Genomic DNA, 27481 nt, shown 5'->3' with positions numbered 1-27481 from the left:
TGGAGCATTAAAAAAAATCAGATGCCTGGTCCTCACCTCAGAGATTATATTAAATTGATTGAGATGGGAGAATATGCATCTGTATTTAAAAAGCCCCCCAGAGTTGAAACCATTGTTATTTACAGCCTTTAGTGGAAGGAAAAATTATAGCAATCAAAGACCAACTAAGGGTGACTCTTAATAAAGTTACGGGACAACTTGGCTTCCAACATTTAGAGAAACTCAATAAGGTGTCCTAGTCCTACAAGAAAAAGCATTTGGCTTGGAATCAAAAGAGCTATCCTGGCTCCACCAATTTCTAGTTTTATGACCTTAGACAAGAGATGTTGTCTCTTCCAGACTTGTTTCTTCCCTTGTTTAATAGCCACATACCTACTTCACAAGGTTGTTGTGAGAAATAAACATGATAATGTAATAACATACCTACCACATTCCATGACACATTTTTGGTGCCTATAAGCAGAAGTTTTCTTCCAAATATAAATTAAATTAAAAGTAGATTTATTGAGCCTGGAAGAAAAATAATAGAGCTAAGTGTGGCTTATTTAAACCTTTTGAATATATTTCTAGTGTTTAGGTCCCCAGCTCATTTACATGATAAAAATAGAAGGAACAAAACTATAAGGGCCAGTGTCAGCTTAGTTTCTCATTTTTTTTCCAAAAAATACTTAAAGGAATTGAGTGGAAAGAACCTATGCTAAGAAATACAAGTTTACGTATCCAAAATGTTTCCAAATCCACCCAGCCACATTTATAGAAGAAAGGGCTGGTTTTCCTGACAGCCAGCGATCACAAATGCTAATATGAAATGTGGGAAAGTTTATATGATAGTACGGTAGGCCCCCCTTATCCCTAGGGTACATTCCAAGATCCCCAGAGAATGCCCGGAATCACACATAGTACCAAACATTATAGCAGCGGTCCCCGACCTTTTTGGCACCAGGGACTGGCTTTGTGGAAGACAATTTTTCCATGGACGGTGGAGGGGTTGCGGGGGAGGGGTTGGTTTCGGGATGAAACATATCATCAGGAGTTACATTCTTTGTTTTATTTTTATTTAATTTATTTATTTATTTATTTATTTATTTATTTATTTATTTATTTATTTATTTGAGACAGAGTCTCGCTCTATCGCCCAGGCTGGAGTGCACTGGTGCAATCTCGGCTGACTGCAAGCTCCGCCTCCCGGGTTCACACCATTCTCCTGCCTCAGCCTCCCGAGTAGCTGGGACTACAGGCGCCCACCACCACGCCCGGTTAATTTTTTTTTTTTTTTTGTATTTTTAGTAGAGACTGGGTTTCACTGCGTTAGCCAGTATGATCTCGATCTCCTGACCTCGTGATCTGCCCGCCTTGGCTTCCCAAAGTGCTGGGATTACAGGCGTGAGCCACCATGCCCGGCCAGGAGTTACATTCTTATAAGAAGCCTGCAACCTAGATTCCTCACGTGTGCAGTTCATAGTGAGGTTCATGCACCTATGAGAATCCAGTGCCGCCTGATCTGACAGGAGGTGGAGCTTAGGCGGTAATGCTCACTGTCCCACTGTTTACCTCCTGCTGTGCAGCCCGATTCCTAACAGGACACAGACCAGTAAGGGTCCCCAGCCTGGGAGTTGGGGACCCCTGCTATATAGGCTATATATTTTTTTCCCATACATGTATATGTATGATAAAGTTTAATTTATAAAATAGGCACAGTAAGAGATTAACAACAATAAAAGAAAACAATTAAAACAATATTTTGTAATAAAAATTATGTGGATGTGCCCTCTCAAAATATCTTATCGTACTGTAAACCTTAGCAACCTCAGCATATGATTTTTTTCTTTCCTCAAGTCAACAGCTTTCACCTTTTCATTTAAAGGAAGCGCTTTACAGTTTCTCTTTGGCATGTCAGAATTGCCAGCATCACTACTCCTGGGCTTTGGGCCATTATTAAGTAAAATAAGGGCTCTTTGAATGCAGGCACTGGGATACCACAACAGTCAATTGGACAACCAGCTGGCTACTAAGTGACTGACAGGCAGGGAGTGTCGGCAGCATGGATCTGCCGGACAAAGGGACAATTCCTGTCTCAGTCAGGATGGAGAGGCACAGCCCTGAGATTTTATCTCACTACTCAGAATAGCACACCATTTAAAACTTATAAATTAATTATTTCTGAAATTTTCCATTTAATATTTTTGGACTGTGGTTGGGCATGGGTAACTGAAACTGCAAAAAGCAAAACCATGGATGGGGGTGGTGACAAGGACTTCTGCACCAACATAGACATTATTCCCCATTTTGGCGTTTGGTAAACAGTGTGCTTTATATTGCATTAAAGTTAATTTCTTTATGTATCATAACCGTTTGCTGAAGAGATACATAATGGTCCAGCCTTTTTCCACTATGAGAAAAAATATTTTCCAGCTGCATTGCATTTCTGGAAATGGAATCAACCGTAACCACTGGCACCAAATATTTAGCAGTCTGGATGCTAGTGGAGAGAAAAAGGGAAGAGTTTGCACTGCTCTCAAATCGCCTTTGCCACAGGGTAGTTACTATAATGTGATATTTCTGTGCTCGGAATAGCCAAGCTTGCGGGGAAAGCCAACATTCCCAGTGCTCAGAGTCAAACCACAACCTGGAATTGTCATGCCCAGGTGGGCCTTTATCTTGGATGGGTGAGGAAAGCCCTTTTCCATGTATAGCCAATGCTTGATGATCTGCTTCTGTGGATAGCTCACTTTATGGATTATTCACAGCAAATTTTAGGCCAAGCCCGGATCCTTTTCTCCCAACTGTCTTGCCACCCACTATGAGGCTCTAAACTGTCTCCTCCACTCAGCTAATGTGTGCTGAGAAAATTGGTTTTAACGCCACCATGCTTGCATTGATTAAATGCCTATCATGTGCCAAACTTTTCGTTAGGTCAGATCTCTATACAATTTTGTAACATAAGTGGTATTATCTTATTTTCCAGAGAAGGAAACAAGGATTTAGAGAGTTCAACATACTTGCCTAAGGTCACACACACATTTCAAAACAGAGTTAACTTTTAGGTTAACCACTCACTTTTGATAACTTGAGTCTTAGAAACTTCTCTATGAGTGAGAGGAATCTGACAAGACTTTTACCAATTTAGTGTGGTCAATTTTAAACCAGTCTCTTTATACATGAAAAGCTAAAGGCATTAAGCAAGTAAATCAAATTCAAGCTGTGTAACAGATACTCTATGATTGTTAGTGAGGTCTTTAAAAATAAAATCAGTTTGCTTAAGTGTCTTTATTGCTAGATATTATTATTACAGGGAGGATTACAAAAGTAGTTAATTTTTTTTGGCCAGGTGTGGTGGCTCCCGCTTGTAGTCCCAGCAGTTTGGGAGGCTGAGGCGGGTGGATCACCTGAGGTCAGGAGTTCGAGACCAGCCTGGCCAAATTGGTGAAACCCCATCTCTACTAAAAATATAAAAATTAGCCAGGCATGGTGGCATGTGCCTGTAATCCCAGCTACTCGGGAGGCTGAGGCAAGAGGATCGCTTGAACCAGGGAGGCAGAGGTTGCAGTAAGCTGAGATTTCACCACTGCACTCCAGCCTGGATGACAGAGCAAGATGACTCTCTTGTTAACATTTCTGTTTAAAGCCCATTACCTTTGCTCCTTGTCTTACTGTACACCCTCATTTCCATAGCAACAAGACAGCATGCAGAGGGGGCAGCCACTGGCTCTTGAGATGATGCAAATGCAGTGGAAAGTTCCACCTTGAAAGACAATATGCAAATCACTTTAGCATATGATAAACAACAAAGAAAGTGATGCTTTTTTGGGGAGACAGCTTATTTGGTTTTTGGAATGTGCTCATTTTTCTGACAGCTTCTCTATCTTGTTTTATCTTTCTGGCCTTACTTTGTTGAGACCAAAATAAAATCATTAAAAAACAAAAATTCAACCTGACATTGCATGTGATTCCATGGCAGATGTAGTGATTTGTGCTTCCAGAGATAGATCTTGAGCAGAACATTTCCAAAGCCTTTTAATTGTGCAATGAATTTGACTCTTTATTAAGTAAAGTTGTTACTAGGATATAGCTGAATAGTGAGATATTCCTCTGAAATAAATTTTCCCGAGTTTTTTTTTTTTCTATTGAGGACCTCTGCTATTATTTTTCCTTGTATCTTGCTAAAAGATTTTTAATATACTCAAATGCTTAAGAGTATGTACTATTAGCCTATATGGCCTTAACTTAGGGAAATAAGATTTCCTTTATAGGATATTAGAAATAATGTGAATCTTTTCGGCTCCACATTACTATTTTTGAGTACTTTCAAAATTGAGTTTCCCAAGAGGGATATCACTGCTGGAATATTCTGTCTTGAGACAGTCAACTGAATAGAATGAACAACATAGGCGTTTATTTTATATTTTAAAAATCCTAGGCCTGTTTTAAGTATCCATTCTTTGTATAACACAAAGCACAAGGTAAACAGGATGTGTATCTTGTAGGAGTAAAAAGAATACAGAAATGGTGCTCCTGTAAAGTTGGGGGAAATGCCTATAACAGCTCACTTTGTGGCTAAATATAGTCACTCTTCACACCTATTCATTGCTATTATTTATAGGGATTGTTCTTAGATATCTTTCCCCTAGGTTCAAAATTTCAAGTGATCAAGGATCATAGAATCCATCTTTAAAATCTTCTAAAGGTAATAATTAGACACCGTAACACCTCCTTTTATGCATGCATATCGTGTAGCTGTCACACGCCAGCTGAATGCTCTCAAGTAACACCTTCTCTTTGAGAGTTTTTGCACACAGCTTCCCGTGGAATCATGCTTGCATACGGGATTTCCACTCATAAGGCCCTGAGCCTTCCCCTCGAAGTCACTCACTGCATGCTTTGCTCTACTGAATGAGGCCAGTGGCCAGAAGAACTCAAAGTGTGGGTCTCTGGCCACCTGCAGCAGAATAACCTGTGGTACTTGGTACCTTTTAAAAATGCAGAGCTGCAAATCCAGACCTATGGACCCATCTCTGGGGATGAGCACGATCATCTGAATTTTCAGTAGGCTCCTTGATTATCATTGTTATTCCTGATGCTGAAGAAAGTTTGAGAACTGGCTCTCAGCTAAGGAATGTCGAGGGTGGGGGCTGTCTGGGGCTAAGAAAGCCTTCAGGTCCCCATATACACAAGCAGCCATTAACACCTGCTCTTCTGTCTTCCCTGGTCACTGCACCAACCCCTCTGCGGCCCCTGCACTTGAACCCATCATCTGCCTCCTCACCAGGTCTTAACAAACCCTTCTGGTTTCTCCTTGTAAGTTTTTACCTTAAAGTGTATTGAGAAATGATGTAATGTGTGAAGCAAATTAAATTGTGCATTATAAATTAAATCATTTTTTGACTTAGGAATGGGTGTGTGTGTTGGGGGACAAGCTGATGTGAGGGAGTTGGAGAGTTTTGTGCTTTTGTCTCAGGGCTCTGCCCTCATAGAATGACCCTGATCACGCTGATTCTTCCTGGATGATGGGGGTGAAGGTGGGAGTGCAATAGCCAGGGATATTCCATGCAGGGGCTGATATGAAAACATTTCCATTTCCATTCTTGATTTCATAGCTTTCATCTTGCACAGTTTGCAGCTAGAATCACGCTTGATGAAGAGCTTTTCTGGTTATTAAAAAAAAACAGAAAAAAAGTGAGATGGACATTTAGATGGATATGATTTCGGGGCAGTATGGCTATCTCTCTAGTGGTTTGGTTCAGATCTATAAAAACCGTAGCTTGCATTTCCTGAGAATAAACCAAGTCGTGGCTATGGAAAAGTGACCCAGAAGCATTGATGGATATATGGAGAAACCTATTTGGGTTAAAAAAAAATTCACCACAAGTGGATAATTTTGAGCTGATCTGATTTCAATGTAACCAACTAATATATCTGAGGTAATATGAGATAAATAAAAGGGAAAACAATGGATATGCCGCTGGTAGGAAGTTTCAAACTGAGGCCTGTCTCTGAGAATCACAGGTGAGACATTGTTACAGAGTTCCCTGTGATCTGGGAATGTAGAGAGTCACACTGAGTGTGTGATATGGATGTATGGTAGTCATCTTTATTTTCTCTAGGACTAGGCTGGCCCTGGATTCCCAGGCCTGGTACTTAGAGTGATATCGAGTAAGTCACCACCCTCACCACCCCAGGTTTGAAAACTGACAAAAGTTCTGCCTTCACTTCTGTGCATTCCTAGCCATCCTGTGCCAGAATTGAAATTGCTCTGGAAAATTCAGGGTCTCTAATAAGTGCTTGGCAAGGCAGCACTTTTTCTGATAGCATAGGGAGTAACAGCTTCCCAGACTGACCAGTTAACACATAGCAGAGATCACACATTGTAAGAAGGGAAATTAGCAGGGAAATATTACTGATACTTAGGGGACAGGCAAGACCCAGGGTGCAGGACTGATGGCAGCTAAATCCAGGTAGGGGAGGAGACGGCTAAATCCACGTAGGGGAAGAGAAAGATGGAGAGCACCAGGTCTCTGTAGATGGGGAGGGCCATATGGAAAATGTGGAAAGTAAAAATGAGGGCAAGAAAGGATAGTAGTAATCTTGTTATTTGCAAATGATGTATGGCTTTTCATAGCCATGTGTTCTTTTGATCATTCTGATATGGGAGGGGGGCAGGGAAGTGCTGGGTAGAGAAAGGCGGTGTCCTTGGCCAGGGCTCCACCCTTGGGCCTGTGCCCACAGACCTAAGTAAGAACAGGCACTCCTGTGTTCGCGCCCAAATGTTGCATTTTCCAAGACCACTCTGACCCACCATGCTCTGCATCCTGTGTCCATATAAACCTGAGACCTTAGTGGGCAGAAAAACAAGCAGCTGGACATTGAGAGGAGAAGAGGAACAGAGAGGCAGAGAGTGGCAGAGAGCAGCGGGGCGGCACAGCAGAGAGAGAAGAGGAAGGACATCTGGACACCAAGAGGAGTTCAGCTGGGGCCGTCTGAGAAGAGTTTGGCTGCTGGGGGGCTTGACTCCAAGGGAAGATCACCTTCCCACTCTATCCCCTCCTTCCTGCTCCCCATCCATCTCGCTGAGCGCCACCTCCATTACTCAATAAGACCTTGCACTCATCCTTCCAGCCCACGTGTGATCTGATTCTTCTGATACAATGGGCAAGAACTCAGGCTGTCACACTGGTCCCCTGCCCTAGCGATAAGGCAGAGGGTCTGTTGAGCTGATTAACACAAGCCGTCTGCAGACGGCAAAGCTGAAAGAGCACACTGTAACACACACCCACTTGGACTTCGGGAGTCGCAGACACCCACCCCTAGATGCAGCCATGGGGCCAGAGCCCAAAAAACGCTCCCCACGGTCTCTGCACCTGCCGTCTGCATACTTCCCCTAGGGGTTTGAGTGGTGGGGCAGTGAGCCACACCTCCGCCTAACGTCCTGCGAGGGGGATAAGGGAACTCTTTCAATTCCAAGAGCCCTCAAAGCGTGAGGGTGGTTGTTATCCCCATTTTACAGCTGAAGATACTGAGCCCCAGAGAGGTAGTGACTAGCTAGGACTAGAACGCATATTTTTGTCGCTTGTTTCATTCTTATATCCATATCTATTTCTCCCACTCTGTGCTTTTGACTAATAGACTCAAAATAACCTCAAACTAACTCTGCCTACTTTATAATTTTGCCCATGAATAGCCTGATCAGGGAACGAGAGGTTAGAGAAGGAGGCATACTCAACAGACTGGACATTTTGCCTAGGTTGACTTCTGCTAAATGATGTTCATGACTGATGGTGTTTTGTTAGGCTAAACTGCATAATGGTTCTTTAATGTGGGTAAGACAAGACCACCCAATTCACTTTTAACTGATGAAGCTGAAACCAGATCTTTAGAAATGAAAGGCATATGCATTAGCCTTGATAATAGATTTCCAGATGGCTGGAATCATACCTCTGTCTCTGCCTTTGGCCAGTGATATTGACCAATAAACTGCTTTATGTCAATAGATCATGAGATATAGTGCGAGTGAATGTTACATGTAGATAATAGCCTTTATTCAGGATCTTTTATGAAACCATTTAATGTACAACCTTCGCTTAAAGCTCTCAGAGGGGAAATGTTCCGAGAAACCTTTCTAGGGTGAAAGTTTTTTATGTGATTTTTTTTTTTTGAGAGGATAACACATACTAAAATTAAGCAAAGTGTACTTGAAAGAAGGAAAAAGGTGACGGATTTGTGAGTGGTTTTGAACAGTGCTTGTAGCAAACGGCACTGCTTTCCAAGCGTCCTCTCCACAGATGTAATTTTGAAAGCAGTTTTATGAGTGACACGCAAAAAGGTGGAAGAATATCCTTATGTAACTGTCATTTGCTCATGGAGAAGCATGATTATTTTCTACTCTGCTTTATGTAAATGTAAATGTGTGTTTCCGAGAAGGTTATTCTCCCCTGTGAATTAACATAGTCCATCTCAGAAGGGGTGATGAGTCGCTTACAAGTAAATTTTGACATCCTGGGATGTTTCTTTGACATTGAATTTCGGGAGATTGATCTGGTTAAGGCTGGTAATTGTGCCTCCTTCCTTGTGGGCTGTGTGCATATTTGCATGGGAGGGAAATGAATGCAAAGGCAGATGCAGAGTGCTCGCAGCACTTGGGAGTTGGCAGATGAACTCTTTTAGTGGTTGTTTTTTAAAAATTGCTTTGAGTGGTCTGGGGAATACATTAATTTAATATCCTCTTCATATTCAGAATATGTAACACCATTGTGAGAAATAAAACCCCAAGGTGAACAAGATTGAAAGTGAAGGCAGCGCTCTAAGGAGGAAGCCAGCTGGCTTGAATGGTGATGTAAACAGCCTTGGAGGTAGGAAAATGAAAAGTGCATCCCAGATATTTGTGTGTCTGTCACATTGGTGCTAGCAAGGGTGTAGAGATGTAAGAGATTTTACATCTTTACTGAGTCTGCAGCAAGAATCAGAATTGAAGGGCAAATGTGAGAAATGAGACACAGTTCGTAGGTTTCCAAGAAAGATAGGGTGACAAAATTGCCTGTCACTCCGATTTCAATACTTGTCATGCTGATCTGAAGAATAACATAACTGATCTAAAATTAGGACAAAATAAAAGTTTTTGATAATGCATGGCTCTTGATTTCACAGCTTTCTCTTGCACAGTTTGTAGCTAGAATCATGCATCATGAAGAATTTTTCTGGTTATAAAATAATGGCATTGAAATATTACAAATAACTGTGTCTACTTTCTTTTACATTTTGTTATCCATATAATTTAGACATAGATAAGTTTATGTAGTCATGGATGTTCTCTTAACTTCTCTTGTTTAACGGTTTTTATTTACAATATGGACAAAGCATCATTCATTCCTTCAACTCAACAAATATTCATTGGGTGCTTACTATGTGCAATGCTCTGTTCTGAGTGCTTTTTCAGGCTTATCTCCTCTAATTCCCACAAGCCTTAGGTCAATTCTCCAGAAATCAGACACTGAGGTGGAGATATATGATGTATGTGCAGAAAGTTTCTTGGTGAATGCCTTTGTGATCAACACCTATGGGGAGCAAAGGCAGTGAGACTGGGAGGCAGTGAGAGAGGAAGGAATTGCACTGAGATGTAACTGCAGCAAGGGTGTCAGCAGATCCCACTGGGTGCTCAAGCTGGGAAGGCCTTCGAGAGATGTATCTTCTTTTAATTTTTTTTTTTTTTTTTGACTGAGTCTTGCTCTGTTGCCCAGGCTGGAGTGCAGTGGCGCAATCTTAGCTCACTGCAACATTTGCCTCCCAGGTTCAAGCAATTCTCCTGCCTCAGCCTCTGGAGTAGCTGGGATTACAGGTGCGCACCACCACGCCTGGCTAATTTTTGTATTTTTAGTAGAGACAGGGTTTCACCATGTTGGCCGGGCTGGTCTTGAAATCCTGACCTCGTGATCTGCCCACCTCAGCCTCCCAAAGTGCTGGGATTACAGGCATGAGCCACCTCACCCACCCGAGAGTTGTATATTCCTGAGGCAAAGAAAGTAGGCTTTTATACATCCCCATCCCCCACCCACACACCCCATCAATGGTCATTAGATATAGATGCCCCCAGCAGAAGGTGTTACCCTGGGGAAGACAATTTCTCATCAGCTGAGTGCCATCACCTGTCAATATTTCTAGCAGTTGGGGACAGATGCAACAGCACTGAAGTGGGGCTATCTGGGCAGCCCCCCGTAACGTTCAGTATGGTATTATCTCCATTTTTACACAAGAAAACAGAGACTCCTAGAATTTAACCACATGCCCAAGGTCACACAGGTGCTAAGTTGAGGTGTCATGATGAACCCCAGGCAGTCTGATGACTCTCATGTGTCTGTGTTATACTCATAAGAGTAGACTAATATCCTGTAACAAATACCCCCTACATAGACACACTGAAATCCAGGGGCTTAAAGAATAAGAAGTTGATTTGTAATGGCTCGCACTTTGAGCTGCTATTTTGTCTCCTCCCAATTGCTGCAAACCAGATAAATAAACTAGTAAACAAAAAAGATAATTTTGAAGAGAGAAAAGTGCTCTGAAGAAAATGAAGATGTATTAATGTTGAGTTAATATATTGATGGCACTTTTACTTTCTGCCACCACCAGCTATCACACACACCGTGTGTATGGTGGAGACCACTAGTTCTCCCATTCGCCTACCTGGGCACACAGCTGATGTCATTAACCAGTTTCACTTGTAGTGATATGGGCCATTTCCCAGCCTGGCAAACAGAGCCCGTATACATCCTTCTCCATGCTCCTTCCTTATGCTTGTGGGCTTTAGTGGCCAGAGCGGTCTTGGAAGCTGGAGCAGAGTTAGGTCTGCTGTGGTCCTGGGTCTCTCAGTGATTCCATGGAGCAGACAGCCCTTGACCTAGAGTCCTCACCCTGGACTGCTACATGAGGTAATAAACATATTCCTTAAGCCCCTGGATTTTAGTGTGTCTGTGTAGGGGTATTTGTTACAGGATCTTAGTTTAGTCTCATGAGTACTGTGTAGAAATTTATTTAAAATACTTTAGTATAAGCTGTATAAGGTATGAGTAGTTATTACTAGGGTGGCATGATAATTTTATTTGTTGTCAACTTGGCTGGGACACAGTACACAGATATTTGGTTGAACATTATTCTGGATGTTTCTGTAAAGGTGTTTCTGAATGAGATTAAAGTTTTAAAAGGTGGATTTTGAGTAAAGCAGATTAGTATACATAATGTGAATGGACTCCATCCAGTCAGTTGAAGGCCTTCATAGAACAAAGACTGATGTCTTCCAACCAAGAAGTAATTTTGCTGGCAGATTGCCTTTGAGCTGCTTCTGTAACATCAGCTCTTCCTGGTTCATCAGCAGACTGCCTTTGGACTTGAACTCTAGCTCTTTCTTGAGTCTCCAGCCTGCTGGCCTACCCCATCAGATTTTGAACTCTCCAAGCTTCTGCAATTACACGAGTCAATTCTTTAAAATAAACCTCTGTCTCTCTGTCTCTCTGTATACACAACACACATGTGCATGTGCGCACGTGCGCGTGCACACACACACACATGTGCGCACACACACACACACTCGCATCCTCTTGGTTCTGTTTCTCTGGAAATCTCTGACTAATACAGGTAGTTGCTATCTTTGAAGCACCCAAGTGAGGGCTCTCTCTACTTCAGAGATAGATACCGCATCTTCATGTTATAGAAATCTATTCAAAAAGATTTATTAATTAGCATAAATAATTTTTAAAACTGGTGATACAGAGTGTATTAAAAAATGCATGGCTGGCTAAAGAGATTTTTCAGACACTATTGCCCTTATCAGTATGACTTACGAGAATTTGTCAAGCGCAATAGCATTAGGCAGAGCTCTGTTGGGCCAGGCCACATGTCCCCTGCCCCACAGAGGACTCTACTGAGCCTGATCCAACTAGGAGTCTAGCTGATTCTTCTGTTAGAGTTTCCTTGTGCCTACCTCTGAGTGAACCTCTCATGCAAGGAGTGTGCTGGTGAGCCTGAGGACAAAGAAGAGAGACCTTACCCAGCTTTAAGGGACTGGCTGTATTGGCTATTTTTTTGTGTTTGTTTACTAATCAGTATCATATAGGTGGCCCAATTTGACGTGAAAGTTGCCTTCATTCTAACCTAATGTATCCTTTTTCACCTTTCCTCTCTGAAGGCTGTCACTGTTTACCTAAAGAACTGACCGTTGTTGAGTGACGAGCTTGACTTTGATCAGTTTCCCCAGGAAGGAATTAAGGCAGCATAGAGCAGCATGGGCAAGAACATGGACGGTGGCTTTAAAGGACCTGGACTTGAGTCCCAGATCTGCTGCTTGTTAGTTGTATGGTCTCTGTGAACACATTCTTCCTTCTCACAGTTTCTTTATCAAGTACAGTCATCCTTCAGTTTCCACAGGGGATTGGTTCCAGGACCCTCATGGATACCAAAATATGTGGATACTCAAGTCCCTTATATAAAATAGTGTAGTATTTGCATATAACCTACATATATCCTCCTGTATATTTTAAATAATCTCTAGATTATTTATGATACCTAATACAAAGTAAATAACATGTAAATTGTTGCTATATTATATTTTTATTTGTATTATGTTTACTGTTGTATTATTTTTAATTATTATTTTTTCCAAGTATTTTTGATCTGCTGTTGATTGAATCTGTAGATGTGGAGCTTAGAGATGTGAAGGGTTGATTGTATGTATCTGTTTCCAGGGGCTGTTGGGAAGATCACATGAGCTAGTGTCCATGTTGTGCTTAACATAGTGCCTAAATAAATGTCCACAATAAGTGCGAATATTACTATTGTTAAAGAGTGGTTCTGTATATTGGAGGCTTTTAGATAAATGAGGTTGAATTTTTAAGCATTGTTACAAAAAGTAAACGGTTTTGATAGATACATTTCTTACTTGGCTTCTTAATAAAGAGAGTCAACATTGAGAAAACGGTCCTATTCTATGTTTATGTAAATGTTTACATATTCTATGTAAAAGCCCAGGTGTTTACTACCTAGGTATGAAGAGAGGGCTATAAACTAATTCTTTGAATTACCCTGAACAACATTTTCTGAGCTGTTTTGAGAGTTGTCACTGGCTGGGTGCAGTGGCTCATGCCTGTAATCTTAGCACTTTGAGATGCTGAGGTGGGTGAATCACTTGAGGTCAGGAGTTTGAGACCAGCCTGGCTAATATGGTGAAACCCCATCTGTACTAAAAATATACAAATTAGCTGGGCATGGTGGTGCACACCTATAATTCCAGCTACACGGGGGGCTAAGGCTTGAGCCTGGGGGGCAGAGGTTGCAGTGAGCCAAGACTGTGCCACTGCTCTCTAGCCTGGGTGACAGAGTGAGACTGTCTCAAAAAAAAAAAAAAAAAAAAAAAAAAAAAAAAAAAAAAAAAAAAGAGAGTTGTTACTATGATTTTGGAGACCTGAGTGTTCTGTGTTCAAATAAGTTTGAGAAATACTGGTGTATTCATCTGTTTAGGCTGCCATAAGAGAAACACAGTCTGGGTGGCTTAAACAATAGAAATTTATTTTATTTATTTTTTATCTGAAAAATTCAAGATCAAGGTACAGGCAGGGTTGGTTTCTGGTGAGGCCTCTTTCCTTGGCTTGCAGACAGCCACCTTCTTGCTGTGTCCTCGCATGGCCTTTCCTCTCTGTGTGCATGTTCCTGGTGTCTCTCCTTTTTATATGGACTCCAGTCCTATCGGATTAGAGCCTTACCCTTAAGACCTTACTTAACCATTATTACCTCCTTAAGGGCCCTATGTACAAATAGTCACATTGAGGGTTAGGGCTTCAACCAATAAATTTTGGGAAGATGCAATTCAGTCCGTGACAATTGAGTATGAAACAAAGATAAATGTTTGTTATAGGAATTTATTATCCTAAAGAGACTCTCCAAGAAGACATATGCTATATAGTGTTTCCCAAATGTATTTTTTCTTTGAGATTGCATTTTAATTTTTAAGAGTCACTTATTACAGATTTGGGAAAAACTGCTGTAAACTATTGTGCTAGTCCTGAATGTGTGTCTTGGTGTGTGCTCAGAGAAGGCTGGGGCAGGCAGGACTGTTGGTTTCTGTGCAAAATATCCCAGTTTGTCCTCACCTTCTAGTATTGGTTTTGATGCTGGTTTTTATAGCCATCCCTACCAGGGCAGTGAGATACCACTTTCTTTGCAATAGTGAGTATGTTGATCACAGCCTATCTTCTGTCATCTTGGCTGTTTTGGTTGCTACTCATGGTCAGATGCCCTTTCACGGCTCCCCTGGAAGGCTGAGAGTGTACGACATCTAAATATTAATAAGCGGTATGCCATTGTATTTAGAAAGCAGTTCTTTCTCTCCCTGAAAAAAATGGTAATACTAAAATATTATGCTCTTGGATTGACATTGCTGTAATATGATGTGTGCTCATTTGTATTCATGCAGAGCTTCAAAACAACTATCCTAGCCTGCAGATTCTCCTAATTAAATAGCTGGGAAAAGCATCTACCATTATCTCATTTGAACTTTCTGTAATTGCTTATTTCCTCCGCTGCTTCTTCTTTTTAATGTATAAATAAAGCTTTCGGATTTTAATTTCCCTGTGACTCTTCTTTACCCATAAATACTACCCTTCTTGACATTTTTTTCATCAGTTCATTTAAAATAAAAGTTTATTGCATTATCTTTTAGATGCAATGTCAAAAGGCAAATTGCTGTAATTCCCCATTATTAAGGAATTATTATTAATAAATATTGTGATTCATTGCTGCAAAACATTAAAGCATATAATTTTCTCCTCTGTGAAGCTTCATTATTTAACACATGTGAAGCTTCCATATTATTTGGTGGTAATATTTAGAAACACCATTCTCTAGAGGCAGGATATGTTTTAGAAATGTGGCCTCTGGAGTTGTAGAAACCACTTATTAGCTGTCAGAACTTGCATGATTTATTGAAATCTAGAAGTATCATTTTACGAATCTATAAAATGAGGCTATCTTATCATTTTTTTTGGATCTGTGTAGTTGCAAGGATGATAAAGTCATTCAAGAGAGTCTTAAAGGGAGGTTTTCTCCAAGAACATAGTATCAATTGATCATTAATTGACTGAATGATTGATTGATTCATTCAAAAATCTTGAGCACCCAATACATATCACAAGTACTGTTCTAGACACTGGAACTAGTGTCATGAACAAAAACAGGCAAAGTGCCTGCTCTCTCAGCGCTTAGCAGAGGGGAGATGGATGGCATCTGCCAGGTGGTGATGAACACTACAAAGATAATGAGGCAGGGTATGGGCAGGGCTGCTGCTACCCTTCATAACATTTTTGTGCAAATTAGGTACTTTACTGCTGAAAGATGTCTTAATTAATACACAAATCTTTGATGGCTATGATGTGAATGGTGCCCCCTGGAGTTGTGCAGTGCATGTCTTGAAAGCCACATGGCAGCCCTTCAAGTGACAGAACCACTGCAGCAAAAGTACTATTTTGCATAATGTAGTCAGGGAAGTCTTCTCTCATACGGTGACATTTGAATAGGGATTTGAATGAATGAGGGAAAGAGCCTTACAGACATTTAGGGGACAAGCATCCGAGGTGGAAGAAACAATAAGTTCAAAGACCCTAAGGTGGGTGTGTGATTGGTGTGTTCAAGGAGCAGTGAGGGCACCCAGGGTAGCTGATGTGAGTACGCAGCAGGGACCGCTATGAAATGACAGCTGAGAGCTGAGGGTGGGATGGGGAGTGGGAGAGGGGTGGGCGGTCGAGCCACATCCTGTAGGGCCTCGTAAGCCAAGATAAGAACTTGGTATTCTGAGGGAGATCAAAAGCAATGAGATGGTTTTAAGCAGAAATGATGTGATCTGATTTATATTGGAGGCAAGTTGGGAGGCTACTTAGTAGACCATCCATGTAAATCAGGTGAGAGATACTATGGCCATGGTTTGGACTGGAGGGGTAGTAGTGCAGGTGGTGAAAAAGTAGTGGGACTTTGTATGTATTTCATAGCTAAAAGCCAACAGAGTTTGCCAACAAATAAAATAGGAGTGTGTGTGAGACAGGAGTTTGGAAAGACGCCCATGTTTTTGATCTGAGTGACTGCTAGGAAGGGTGGCCATTTACTGAATGGGGAAGACGTCACGAGGAGCAGGCTTAAGTGGAAGATCAAGAGTCTGGTTTCGAACACATAGAAACACCTGTTGGAAATCCAGATGGAGACCATGAGCAGATGGTTAGATGTACGGGTCTGGAGATCAGGGAAGAAGACATTGGAACTAATGGAAACCAAGAACAACACAATATTGAGAGGGGCTCCATGGGACTTGAGTTGAAGGTTTAGTTTAGAGTTAAATCTACTTTAGGGACTTCAGGAGCAAAGGTGTTTTTCACAATTGGGCTCCTGCACCGCTAGCATCCAGTTACGCTGATGTGTCATCTCTTTTCCCAAAGCAACTGAAGCATTCTTTTTAAACTTTTAGCTCAAATTTCTAAGAGAGGAATTCTGTGGGGCCCGGCTTGTCTTTTATCCTTAGTACACAAATTGCTGACTGGTCGGATCTGCTGCCTTTTGCTGAGGAGCCCATTCCCTGTCCAGTGAGCTGTGACTGCTGTCGCAACTGAAGTCACAGGGTAGAAATATGACTGCCTAAAAGTATGGTGTGGACTGGGCAGTAATTCTTAGGAAGAGAGTGGCTGATAGGCAGGAAATGGCTGAGATCTCCTGAGTAAATTCTGTGTTACAGAGCTGTTATGAGACTAGAAGGGAATAACATGAGAAAATGCCTTGCTGAGTTTCAGACATATTTTAACTCACAACTATAGGGAAAACAATGAAGCAAAAGAGTAACTCTTAGGAAGGGAGTGGTTGATAGGCAGGAAATGGCTGAGATCCCCTGAATAAATTCTGTGTTACAGAGCTGTTCTGAGACTAGAAGGGAATAACATGAGAAAATGCCTTGCTGAGTTTCAGACGTATTTTAATTCACAATTAGAGGGAAAACAATGAAGCAAAAGTGATACGTGTTTTCATGCTTGAGATATACAATCTATGATTAGGTTGTAATTATAGGGGAAGAAGCACTTAGAGTTCTGCCTGGCATCCCATTTGCTGTTTATCTTGCAAACATTTCATTCTTGAAATTCGGTTCAGCAGTGACCTTCCCAGGAAGGCCTTCCTGAGCACTCCATTAGTTGACACTATTTCTGGGTCATAAGTACCTCCTCCCCACACCAGAGGGTTTATAATGTTTTAAAAATTAAAAATATATTTTTCAGGCCTGGCGCAGTGGCTCATGCTTATAATGCTAGCACTTTGGGAGGCCTAGGTGGGCAGATCGCTTGAGCCCAGGCTTTCAAGACCAGCCTGTGCAACATGGTGAAACCTTGTCTCTATTTTAAAAAAGAAGCATTTTCAGCTTATAAAAGGACTCATGTTCATTGTATTAATTTGGAAAATACAGACAAATATAAAGAAGTAAAAAGAAAAAAAGGCACCCATAATCCCATTACCCAGAAATGGCCGCTGTGTAACATTGTACACTACTTCTCCCACTCTTTCCAAAAGAGAGAGAGAAATCACTCACGTCTACACAGACTTACAGGGCCACATCTTACTGCTATTCTAAACTTTATTTAACCATTTCTCTATTTTGAGTGTTTAAATTGTTTCCAATTTTTGCAATTATAAATTATGCTACAATGAACTTTTTGTATATAAATCTATTCACATTTGTGATTATTTCATTAGAGATTTCTTGATGTTAAAATTGCTGGGTTAAAGTGTATGTACTTAAATGTTTTAAGCATATATTTCAAAATTGTTTTCCAGAAAGACAACCCAATTTACCTTCTTAAGCAGGAGTTTATGAAAGTAGACATCTCTCTATACTTTTACTAGTACTTAATAGTGGTATCTCATTGTAGTTTTAATCTGCATACTTATGATTATTAGTAACTGGTAATTAGTAAGGCTATTTTCTAATGTTTATTAACCAGATGTATTTTCTTGAGAATTATCTAATTGCATATATCTGTCTTTCATTAGTTCCTAATGTTTTTCCCATTAATTTATAGCAACTCTTTACATATTAAGAATATTAAACCTTTATCACATTGTTTGAAAACTGATTTTCCTCTATCATTTGATTTTAATTTTGCTTAGAATATTTTCTGGTAGACAGATGTTTAAATCACTTTATGTGCTCAAAGGCAAATATCTATTTGTTAAATATGGGTGGTAAATATGTGAGTGTTTATGATATAATTCTTCATAAATAAAACAAATTTTAAGTCACACCTGCTCATTAAAGGTTTCTTTCATTTATACTTAGAAAGCTATTGCATTTTCCCATTATTTTGTGAAAAATTCATTTCTTTTCTCTTAGTTTGCTTCATATAGTGCTGTAATTAACGTGTCTATTTTCCTACTAGACTATGAATTAGAACTTTGTATCTCTGAGTCTGTAATGTCTAGTAGACCCCATTAAATGCTTATTGTATAAATGAAAAAATAATCTCTTGAGGAGGAAGGATCATAAGAAGGATATGTGAGGTTGCAACCTGAGTGTTGGCTACATACTCATACTGAGGCTGTGGGAATGATACAACTTAAAAATAGAACTTAGCAGGAATGACTTGACACAGATTTCATGGTAGAGACTTCCTGAATCAGTCAGAATACTTGAGACCCCATGGTGAATATATACCAATCCCGTCCTTAAATGCATCCCTTTCCCAGGGTTAAATAGCATGTGCACTTTTGTTGATGATGCTGCACAAATATATCAACAGTAAGAAAGGCAAATATCACCGTGGACACTCCCATTGCCAAACTCCCACGTTACTTAAGAATGGAAGCTAATTGTTTGACGTTACATCCTATATCTTGCATCAATAAAGACTTGTGGGATTAGACTTGTCTTCTGAAAAGAGGGTGAATTCCTTAAGGGACCTAGCCATGTTAATTTTACCCTATTATCTATAGTGGCCAGCAAATTGCTGAATGCATCATAGATGCTCCGTAAATACCAAGGGATTATAATTGTCTTTCTTTTGTAGATTGCTATTCTTAGTGATTTTGCATAAAACAGGAGGACTTTAAAAAAATGTTTTGAGTTAAAAAAAGGACATATATTTTTAGACTTGGGGTCTTGCTGTGTTGCCCAGGCTAGAGTGCATCAGCTATTCACAGTTGCAATCATAGTGTACTACAGCCCTGAACTCCTGGGCTCAAGCAATCTTCCTGCCTCAGCCTCCTGAGCAGCTGTTACTACAAGCGTGTACCACCTCACCAAGTGAAATGGGGAAACCACTGGGCCTCTCAAAGGTCATACTGAGCAGATGATAACAGCACCATGAAAAGCACCCAGCCCTTGGTTTGTTCACAAACCTTCATTCCATATCCCACGTTGAACTGCCTGCCCTGCCTACCTCTGTGCCTGGCTTTTTTTGTTTTTAACCTAATGCTTTTTTATATTTAGTCGAGAGTAAATTTTCTAAATATAATGTTAAATCTCAATGGAATACACAGACTATTTTTCGAGCCTCATTTTGAATTCTTTTTTTTTTGAGACAGAGTCTCACCCTGTCACCCAGGCTGGAGTGCAGTGGTGTGATCTTGGCTCACTGCAACCTCCACTTCCCAGGTTCAAGGGATTCTCGTGCCTCAGCCTTCTGAGTAGCTAGGATTACAGGTGTGTGCCACCACATCCGCTAATTTTTGTATTTTTAGTAGAGATGGGGTTTCACTATGTTGCTCAGACTGATCTTGAACTCCTGACCTCAGGTGATCCACCTGCCTTGGCCTCCCAAAGTGCTGGGATTATAGGCGTGAGCCACTGTACTTGGCCTCATTTTGAATTCTTATTTTTTAAATACTGTCTATAAACATTTGGAATTTTATTTTTTAAAAAACAATGATACCAAGCATGCTTACAAGGTGGCCCTGGGGGTCTCTGGACCTTTAATGCAACAGATGGGAGGAAGAAGAGGCAGACAGGAATTCATGTTTCAGCTTACCTTGCTATTTTGTGTCACAGATAAGACAGCTGTGTCTCCCTTAAATCTGTAAAACAGCTTTTTTGGGTAAGCACTGCATCTTGCTATCTTTTTCTGCTCCAGGCTGGAGACAGATAACAGAACATTAAAACAGACTGGAAAAATTAGGCAATACAGTGTGAGTAAAGCAATTTGGCAAAGCTAAGTAAAATGAGAAGGAAAGCTCTATAGTCTGACAGTGTTGAGTGACTGGCTGTTGTACGAAAGAGGTCTGAGTTCCATGGGTCAGAAAAAGTCCCGGGCAGCACTATGCAGCTGTTTGAAAAGAGATTTTGCTGTGAAATCAACAACTAGCTTTGTTGGCTGCTTATACAAAAAAAAAAAAAAAAAAAAAAAAGAAAGTAATATATGCTTAGCTTACTTACTAGCATGAGCTCCCAGTGGAGACCATTGAGATATTCCTTGCTGACATCCTGTGCAGTTATTTACTTTTCCCAACAGCTGTTGTTTTCTTGCCTTGTGTATATTCAGCCACAGGTGTAACTTTTTACGACCTTTTCTTCCATTTTTTTTTAATTGTGGTAAAATACACATGACATAAAATTTACCATTCTGACGATTTTTTTTTTTTTTGAGATAGAGTCTTGCTCCGTCACCCAGGCTGGAGCGCAGTGGCACATTCTTGGCTCACTGCAACCTCTGCCTCCCGGGTTCAAGCGACTCTCCTGCCTCAGCCTCCCAAGTAGCTGGGATCACAGGTGTCGGGCACAACACCCGGCTAATTTTTTATTTTTAGTAGAGACGGGGTTTTGCCACATTGGCCAGGCTAGTCTCGAACTCCTGACCTCAGATGATCCACCTGCCTTGTTTTAAGTGTCTTGTTCAGTGGTATTGCGTACGGTAAGTCCTCACTTAATGTTGTTGATAGGTTCTTGGAAACTATGACTTTAAGTGAAATGACCTATAATGTAGCCAGTTTAACATAAGCTAATTGATATAAACAAGAGTTAAGTTTCTAAGTCATATTTCTGGTCACAAAAACATCACCAAACTTCCAAATAAAGACTCCAAACACTTCTAATATTAAATATTGAAACAAATGTGGGCTATACATACATTTAAGAAATAAAGATTAAAAGCAAGCAAAAATTATATATCCAATTTTTGGTGAATTGGTGAGTGACAGCAGTTGTAGTGATGGTGGGTTATATCAAGGTATAAATGTTTGCAAATCAAAAATTGTCCGGAGTACCTCCTATCACCACACAGTTCAAAAACAAGAACAAATAGGGCAGGCTTGCTGAATGCTTTTGTACAGCATTGTTTATTGTAGTTCATTTGTATGATTATCATAAAATTTATAATTTTCTATTTTATAATAATTTGTAATCATTCATTCATTCATTCTTTCTCCAACCTGCTTATTTCAGTTCAGGATCATGGGTGGCTGAAGCCTATCCTGGCAGCTCAGGGCACAGGGCAGGAACTGACTCTGGACAGGACGCCCTCCCATTGTGGGGTGCACTCACACCTACACCCACTCATGCTGGGATCATTTAGACATACCAATAAACCTAACATGCATATTTTCTGGACATGGGAGGAGGCTGGAGTACCTGAGAAAACCCACACAGGCACATGTGCAGACTCCACAGACAGTGGCCCTAGCCAGGAATCAATATTTTCCTCATCAACGTTATAATGAAATGACTTTGATCAAAATGATGTTATTCAAGAACCTATTGAATTATGTTAGTCAGATTTCTCCAGAGAGACAGAACCAGTAGAATATCTGGAAGGGGACGTATTAGGGGGAGCTGACTCACACAATCACAGAGGGTGAGAAGTTCCACCACAGACCGACTGCAAACTGGAGAACCAGAGAAGCCGGCAGCATGGCTCCATCAAGTCCAAAGCCTCAGAACTGGGGAAGCTGACGGTGCAGCTCCAAGTCAGTCCTGATGGTCCTGGGGAGACTGCTGGTCAGTCCCAGAGTGCAAAGATGGAGGCACCTGAGTCTGATGTCCAAGGGCAGGAGAAAAAGTGTCTTACTCCTGAAGGGAGTGAGAAAGCAGACAGGATGACTTCCCTGTCCTCTGCCTCTGGGTTCCAGCCAGGCCCCCAGCAAAATGTATGGTGGGCAGGTCTTCCTCTCAGTCCAAAGCCTCCTACTTCAATCTCCTCTAGAAACACCCTCACAGGTGCCCAGAAGCAACACTTTGCCCCCCACCTGGGCATCCCTCAATCCAGTCAAGGTGACACCTAAAATTTACCATCATAAGTACATCCATGGTTTAGGTGGATTTTTTGACACTAGAGTTCTCTCCTCAAGATTTTTTGCCTCAGGCTCATGAGGCAACTGGAGAGTGAACAGATTGGCACTTGGCATTGTATAAATTGGCCTGAAACTTTCATTTGTGTTTAAAAAACTTGGACTAACTTAATTTGGATTTTATTTTTAAAGGGTATTGTTGGTGGTGGTGATAGTTGTGCAGCCAACAATAAAACCTGGCTTTGTTATCAAATATGATGTGAAGGGAACTTCATTCATGTGACAATTCAGTTAAAACATCTTTGGAACCTCAGGAATCAAATGTCTGTGAGACACTAAAACTGGTTTTCCAAACTGGTGTTCATTCCTGGGCTGGGAATGAACGCCTGCTCATTTGCCATGTCTCCTAAAGACAGTGAGTGAAAACACATTGTCCTCCTACACCTTCCATGTTGGTCCTAGGGAGCAGTCACAGGATTTTAGGAAAGTGATATTCTGTCCTGTACCATGGTTCCTTCTGCAGATAATAGTAGCATTTTTCACATTACTGAAGAGCTGAAAGGAATCATGAGATCTATGAGACTGGCACAATAGAATTTTTAAAATTTCATGTGTGCTAAACCTGCTCTGTTCTTATAAAGCATCTTGTACACCAAGAGTTTTCAATACGTTCTGGATGGTGTGTATGTGTGTGTGTGAGTGTGTGTGTAATGTTGCTGTGAATGCATGTCATTGCTTTAATTATCCATTTTCCCCTGCTTACCTAACTCCTAATAGGAACACAGGTATTAAAACAAATGAAGCTCATATTCTTCACTGCTCGCTTGGCAGGAATTCTGTCTTGCCCTATGTGAATGATTATTTGCAAAACAATCTTACAATTGAGAAATAAAAAGAAGAGCCAGGTAAGCCCCTGGACAGAGTTGTTTGTTGTTTCAGCAAGATATTTCAGAACGTGTAGATTTCATTTTCCTGTCTCCCATTCTTGTTACTTTCCCCTTTCCTCTCTTCCCTCTTTCCTCCTTTCTTTCTCTGGTGTGGAACATACTACTTAGTTAATGTTGTCTTTCTTTGGTAAGTATCTCTGTTTATTACATTTGCTGAGCTATAGCTAATACATGGAATTCTGCATTTTGCATCTTGTTTAAATATTGCAGTTTGTACTCCATAATATCCTGCACTTAAAGAGCATGATTACTGCTAATTATCATTTAGAAAATTGTTTTTGCTTGATTAAGATCTTAGCTATGTGTACTGAAATCTAGTGGGTCTTCATTATGTGCAGTATTTTCTATTCTATACTTGCTTAAATATTAATGTATGGAAATTTAGCTTCATCTGTCCTACCTTTTGATGTCAGAAGCATAATCAGCATAATTGGCTTAGATTGTTTTTTTCTCCTGTTTGTATTTCATATTACCTAATGTCATTAGTGAGTTGACTACTGAGTGGGTAATCTGCATTTCTGAACTGCTTCTTGAGCACATTATTACCATTGATTTTGATTATTTTAATTCCCATTCACCCCAGGCAGTCCCTCAAGCTGTGCCATATTATTCAAATAACTGCTTTCTTCCATTCTGGGAGCAAGTCTGTTTCTGAAAACCCATCGGCATTCTTATAAATACTGATGTTTTCACTTGGTCTAGGGGGCAACTTGATTTTCATAATATATGGGTGAGGATGGGTAGGTAGCTCAAGACTTGTGTGCCTTTATTCTGAATGGTAGGTAACATGGCAGTCCCTGGTGCCCATGAGGAAGCAGTGCCTGATCCTGCCTGCTTTCAGAGACTGAGCTGGATAACTGACCAGGTTCCACAGGGAGCCTTGCCCCTGGGCTCCTCATCCATAGGACTCCTGTGTAGTCTGACTGCTGGTACACAGCAACCGCACCTCTCCTTCTCTTCCTAAGGCTTGCAGGTCTGCCTTTTGCCCATGGAAAATAACGGCTGGACTGACTTAGGGATTGGGATCCAACTTCCTTTTGGTTTTTGAGTGTATTCCAAAACTAACTGTAAAAAGAACCCCACATTAAAGTCTAAGCTTGGCTATGGTCAGCCACAGATTCTGCTAACCCTCCGGCTGGGATACATACACTCAGTTTTCCTGGTGGTGGTGATTAAAGTCATTTGTAGTTGTACAGAACCTTGAATGTTATGGCTATAAGAGAATTTAACAGCACCAGTATTCTACTTCTGTCTTTTTATAGACAAGAAAACAGAGGCCTGGAGAGGTAAATAATTGGCTGAGGTCACACAGCTACCGAGTGGCAGAGCTGAGTGGTAAAGAGTCCCCTCTGTTCAGACAGGGCTCTTTACTTCTTAATGGTACCTTGTTACTGGATGACATAGTGTAACAGCATATTGTACACACCTGCTGACCACCATGGTCAATGTGGGTGATTGACAGCTTTATATGTGTATATGTAGCCCAATGTGTTTTTCAGGCCAGAGGCTTTTATGAGGGAAATGAGAATACAAAAATAATATAATTAAAAGCATTTGTATATATGTGTCTACACACAAGTATATGTTAAGGGGATCAGCAGGGTTTTAAGCCTGCTAAATTCTAATTCTGCCTGAATGTAAACTGAGTCAGAAAATTAAAATGTTGTGTTATGGTTTTCCAAAAAAGCAGAACCAATAGGAGAATATATATATATATATATATATACACACACATACACACACACACCCATAGTCATATAAAGATTTATTACGAGGGATTAGCTCATGCAATTATGGAGGCTGAGAAGATCTGCTGTCTGGAAGCTGGAGGGCCAGGAAAGCAAGTGGTATAGTTTCAGTACCAATCCAAAGGCCTCAGAATGAGGGATGACAATGCTATAACTTCCAGACCAAGTCTAAAGGCCCAGAACCCAGAGTGCCAAGGTCTACAGACAGGAGTGGATGGATGTCCCAGCCCAGGCAAAGAGAGCAAATTTGCCCATCCTCTGCCTTTTTGTTCTATTCAGACCCTCAACAGACTGGGTGATGTCCACCCACCTTGGTGAGGGCAATCTTATTTACCCAGTCTACTGGTTCAAATGCCAATCTCTTCCAAAAACACCCTCACAGACACACCCAGACATAATGTTTTACCAGCTATCTGGGCATCTCTTAGCCTTGTCAAGTTCACACATACAATTCACCATCACAAGAGTCTCTCTTCTCTTTCTCCTGTTAGGACAAGCTCTTTGCTCCTGTAGTGCTGGAGAAATACAGTAGATTGGTGCTCCTAGAAGGGACGGCATGAGTGAGACCCCAACCCCTGGTTAGCACTTTTCTTCACTGTCTAACTTGAACGAAGGATTTGGAAGTGGAGGCAGCTTTCTTGGGGAGACCGGAGGGGGAGAATTGGGTAGGACTTTTCTGTTTGAAGTTTCTGTAATAATTAGTTTAGAAACTACCAAGGTGTAATTCCTGATGAATTTCATTATTGCAGAGATTCTTAATTATCAAAGAGGTTTTAAAATGTTTTAACCAAGAAGCCTCCAGGGTGAATATTTTAGAATATGTGACATTAGTTAGTGTCCATAACCAGCAGTTCTTCTAACAGTTGCTTTAAGTTAATTTGGCCTCATCAAAGGAGGCAAATAAAATTGAACGAGACAGTATTTTACTGCACATGTCTAGAAACAAAAATCTTAATCCTAAACAATCATTTCCTGATGTTTCCTTTTTTGGGTCAGCACTCTCCTTGTTTTAATTTGTTGGTTTCTGGTATAGGGATGTGGGCTAAAATCTTCCCTTCACAATTGTGTGTGAGAACCAGGTCTGCCGGTACACCTAAAATACACCCACATCACACCACCTTCCTTTACGATTAGTTAAAAACTCAAGGCAAGTGGCTCAGTTGGCACTGAGTAAAACTTGGACCAGCTGGACATTTGGAGACTGAATTTTTGTTTGAGTTGCCAGAGAACTTTCAAATTAAGTGGACTTGGATACTTAACAGACTAATTTACTCAGATGAAAAGGTCCAAAGGATAGACTTGGCTAGCAATTTCTAGATTTTTGAATTTCACTGACCAATAAAATTTCTAAAGTGATTTTGGAGACCGATATAGGATTATCGACATTTGTTCTTTGCCAAGTAAGAGCATTTAAAAAGTACCAAAGCACCACCTACTATGAAAAACTTAATATGGTGTCCTATTTTCATTCCACCAAAGACTGATAAAAACTGGCATTTGACAACTACTGAGCCAAGTGACTTTGTAAAGTCCCCTCTAGATATAGCATTGGTTTGCATTTAACCTATAATCCACTGTGACCCAAAGATCCTTTTCTTCCTTATTCATTTTTTTCCCTTCTAAGTAACTCCTTTTTTGCTTGAATCATCTTTCTTTCCCCCTGTCACCTATCCCACCTGCTCCCACTGGCTCTTCCTCCTCTCTTGTTCTCCAGTGTTTCCCAGGGAATTTCTCAAGGGTTGTGTCTCACCACACTGGGGTATTCCTGTTTAAGGGGCTGGTTTCCCTGTTTACTGGGCAGTGTTCTCAAACCTAGTGAGCATGCATTTATGTAAAATATTTATGCCATCCATTAAAATGGAAAATATCTTTGTTTTGCTGACATTGACCTGTTCGTAGCTACTTCTTGGATATAATTCTCCAACTAGCTATGTACCTACCAATAGTTTTGTGTTCTGAATATTTTTCTTATTAGTTACTCTTGTGTTGTATGAGACTTAATCAAAAAAATCTTTTTTGAATCAAGATCTATTATGTCATTTGCTTCTCTTCAATCTGCTGGGCCTATTACTCTGTCATAGAAATAGATTAATGAGCTGAAAATTTCACCAGAGCTTGTTTTCTCATGAAATTTGCTGATCTGTCTGCTTTTGTTTGGGCCAGAATTTACAGTAACTGTAACTCTGGTTGTTTTTCAACATTTGGCTTTCCAGTTTCAAGAAAATATTTCCAAAGTATGCAAGAGTGAAAGGAAATAAAAACTATTTTCATAAATTATACAAATAAACCTGTTTCTGATACTCATAAAATCAGCTGGTTTGGCTTTTGGATAAAGTTTAAGTTAGTGCATGCCTCATTCAAATGACTTCTAGGGAACTATTTTATACAGTTAATATGAAACAAAACACACTTCTTTAATGAGTTATAGTCTTATATTCCAATCATAATGAAATATAAAGTATAGCAGGTATATAGTGGCATCGCAACTTAATTTATTTGCCCAGGTTTGAA

At 40.5% G+C, this 27481-nt stretch overlaps 1 long non-coding RNA gene across 5 annotated transcripts in view, besides 2 other annotated features; it reads left to right on the top strand.

The window, feature by feature from the left end:
• The window catches only part of LINC01331 (long intergenic non-protein coding RNA 1331), a 209330-nt gene that overhangs the window by 51593 nt on the left and 130256 nt on the right, over nucleotides 1-27481 (top strand). For 2 of the 5 annotated variants that reach the window (NR_197438.1, NR_197437.1), the window contains exon 1: nucleotides 8609-8843. The exons of 2 other annotated variants lie outside the window; for them this stretch is intronic. This is a non-coding gene — a long non-coding RNA (long intergenic non-protein coding RNA 1331). Of the gene's footprint in view, nucleotides 1-8608; nucleotides 8844-27481 lie in introns of those variants that run through there. One more of the 5 variants, NR_126354.2, reaches the window with a different exon arrangement.
• Nucleotides 3614-3743: a silencer, noted in NCBI's record as "silent region_16093". NCBI's record gives its function as "represses an Ori minimal core promoter by ATAC-STARR-seq in GM12878 lymphoblastoid cells {active_cell/tissue: GM12878}" and the evidence as "EXISTENCE:reporter gene assay evidence [ECO:0000049][PMID:35858748]".
• Nucleotides 19608-19797: a silencer, noted in NCBI's record as "silent region_16092". NCBI's record gives its function as "represses an Ori minimal core promoter by ATAC-STARR-seq in GM12878 lymphoblastoid cells {active_cell/tissue: GM12878}" and the evidence as "EXISTENCE:reporter gene assay evidence [ECO:0000049][PMID:35858748]".

This window comes from Homo sapiens, chromosome 5, assembly GCF_000001405.40.
Source record: "Homo sapiens chromosome 5, GRCh38.p14 Primary Assembly".
Taxonomy (NCBI): domain Eukaryota; kingdom Metazoa; phylum Chordata; class Mammalia; order Primates; family Hominidae; genus Homo; species Homo sapiens.
This window is presented reverse-complemented; position numbering and strand designations above follow the sequence as displayed.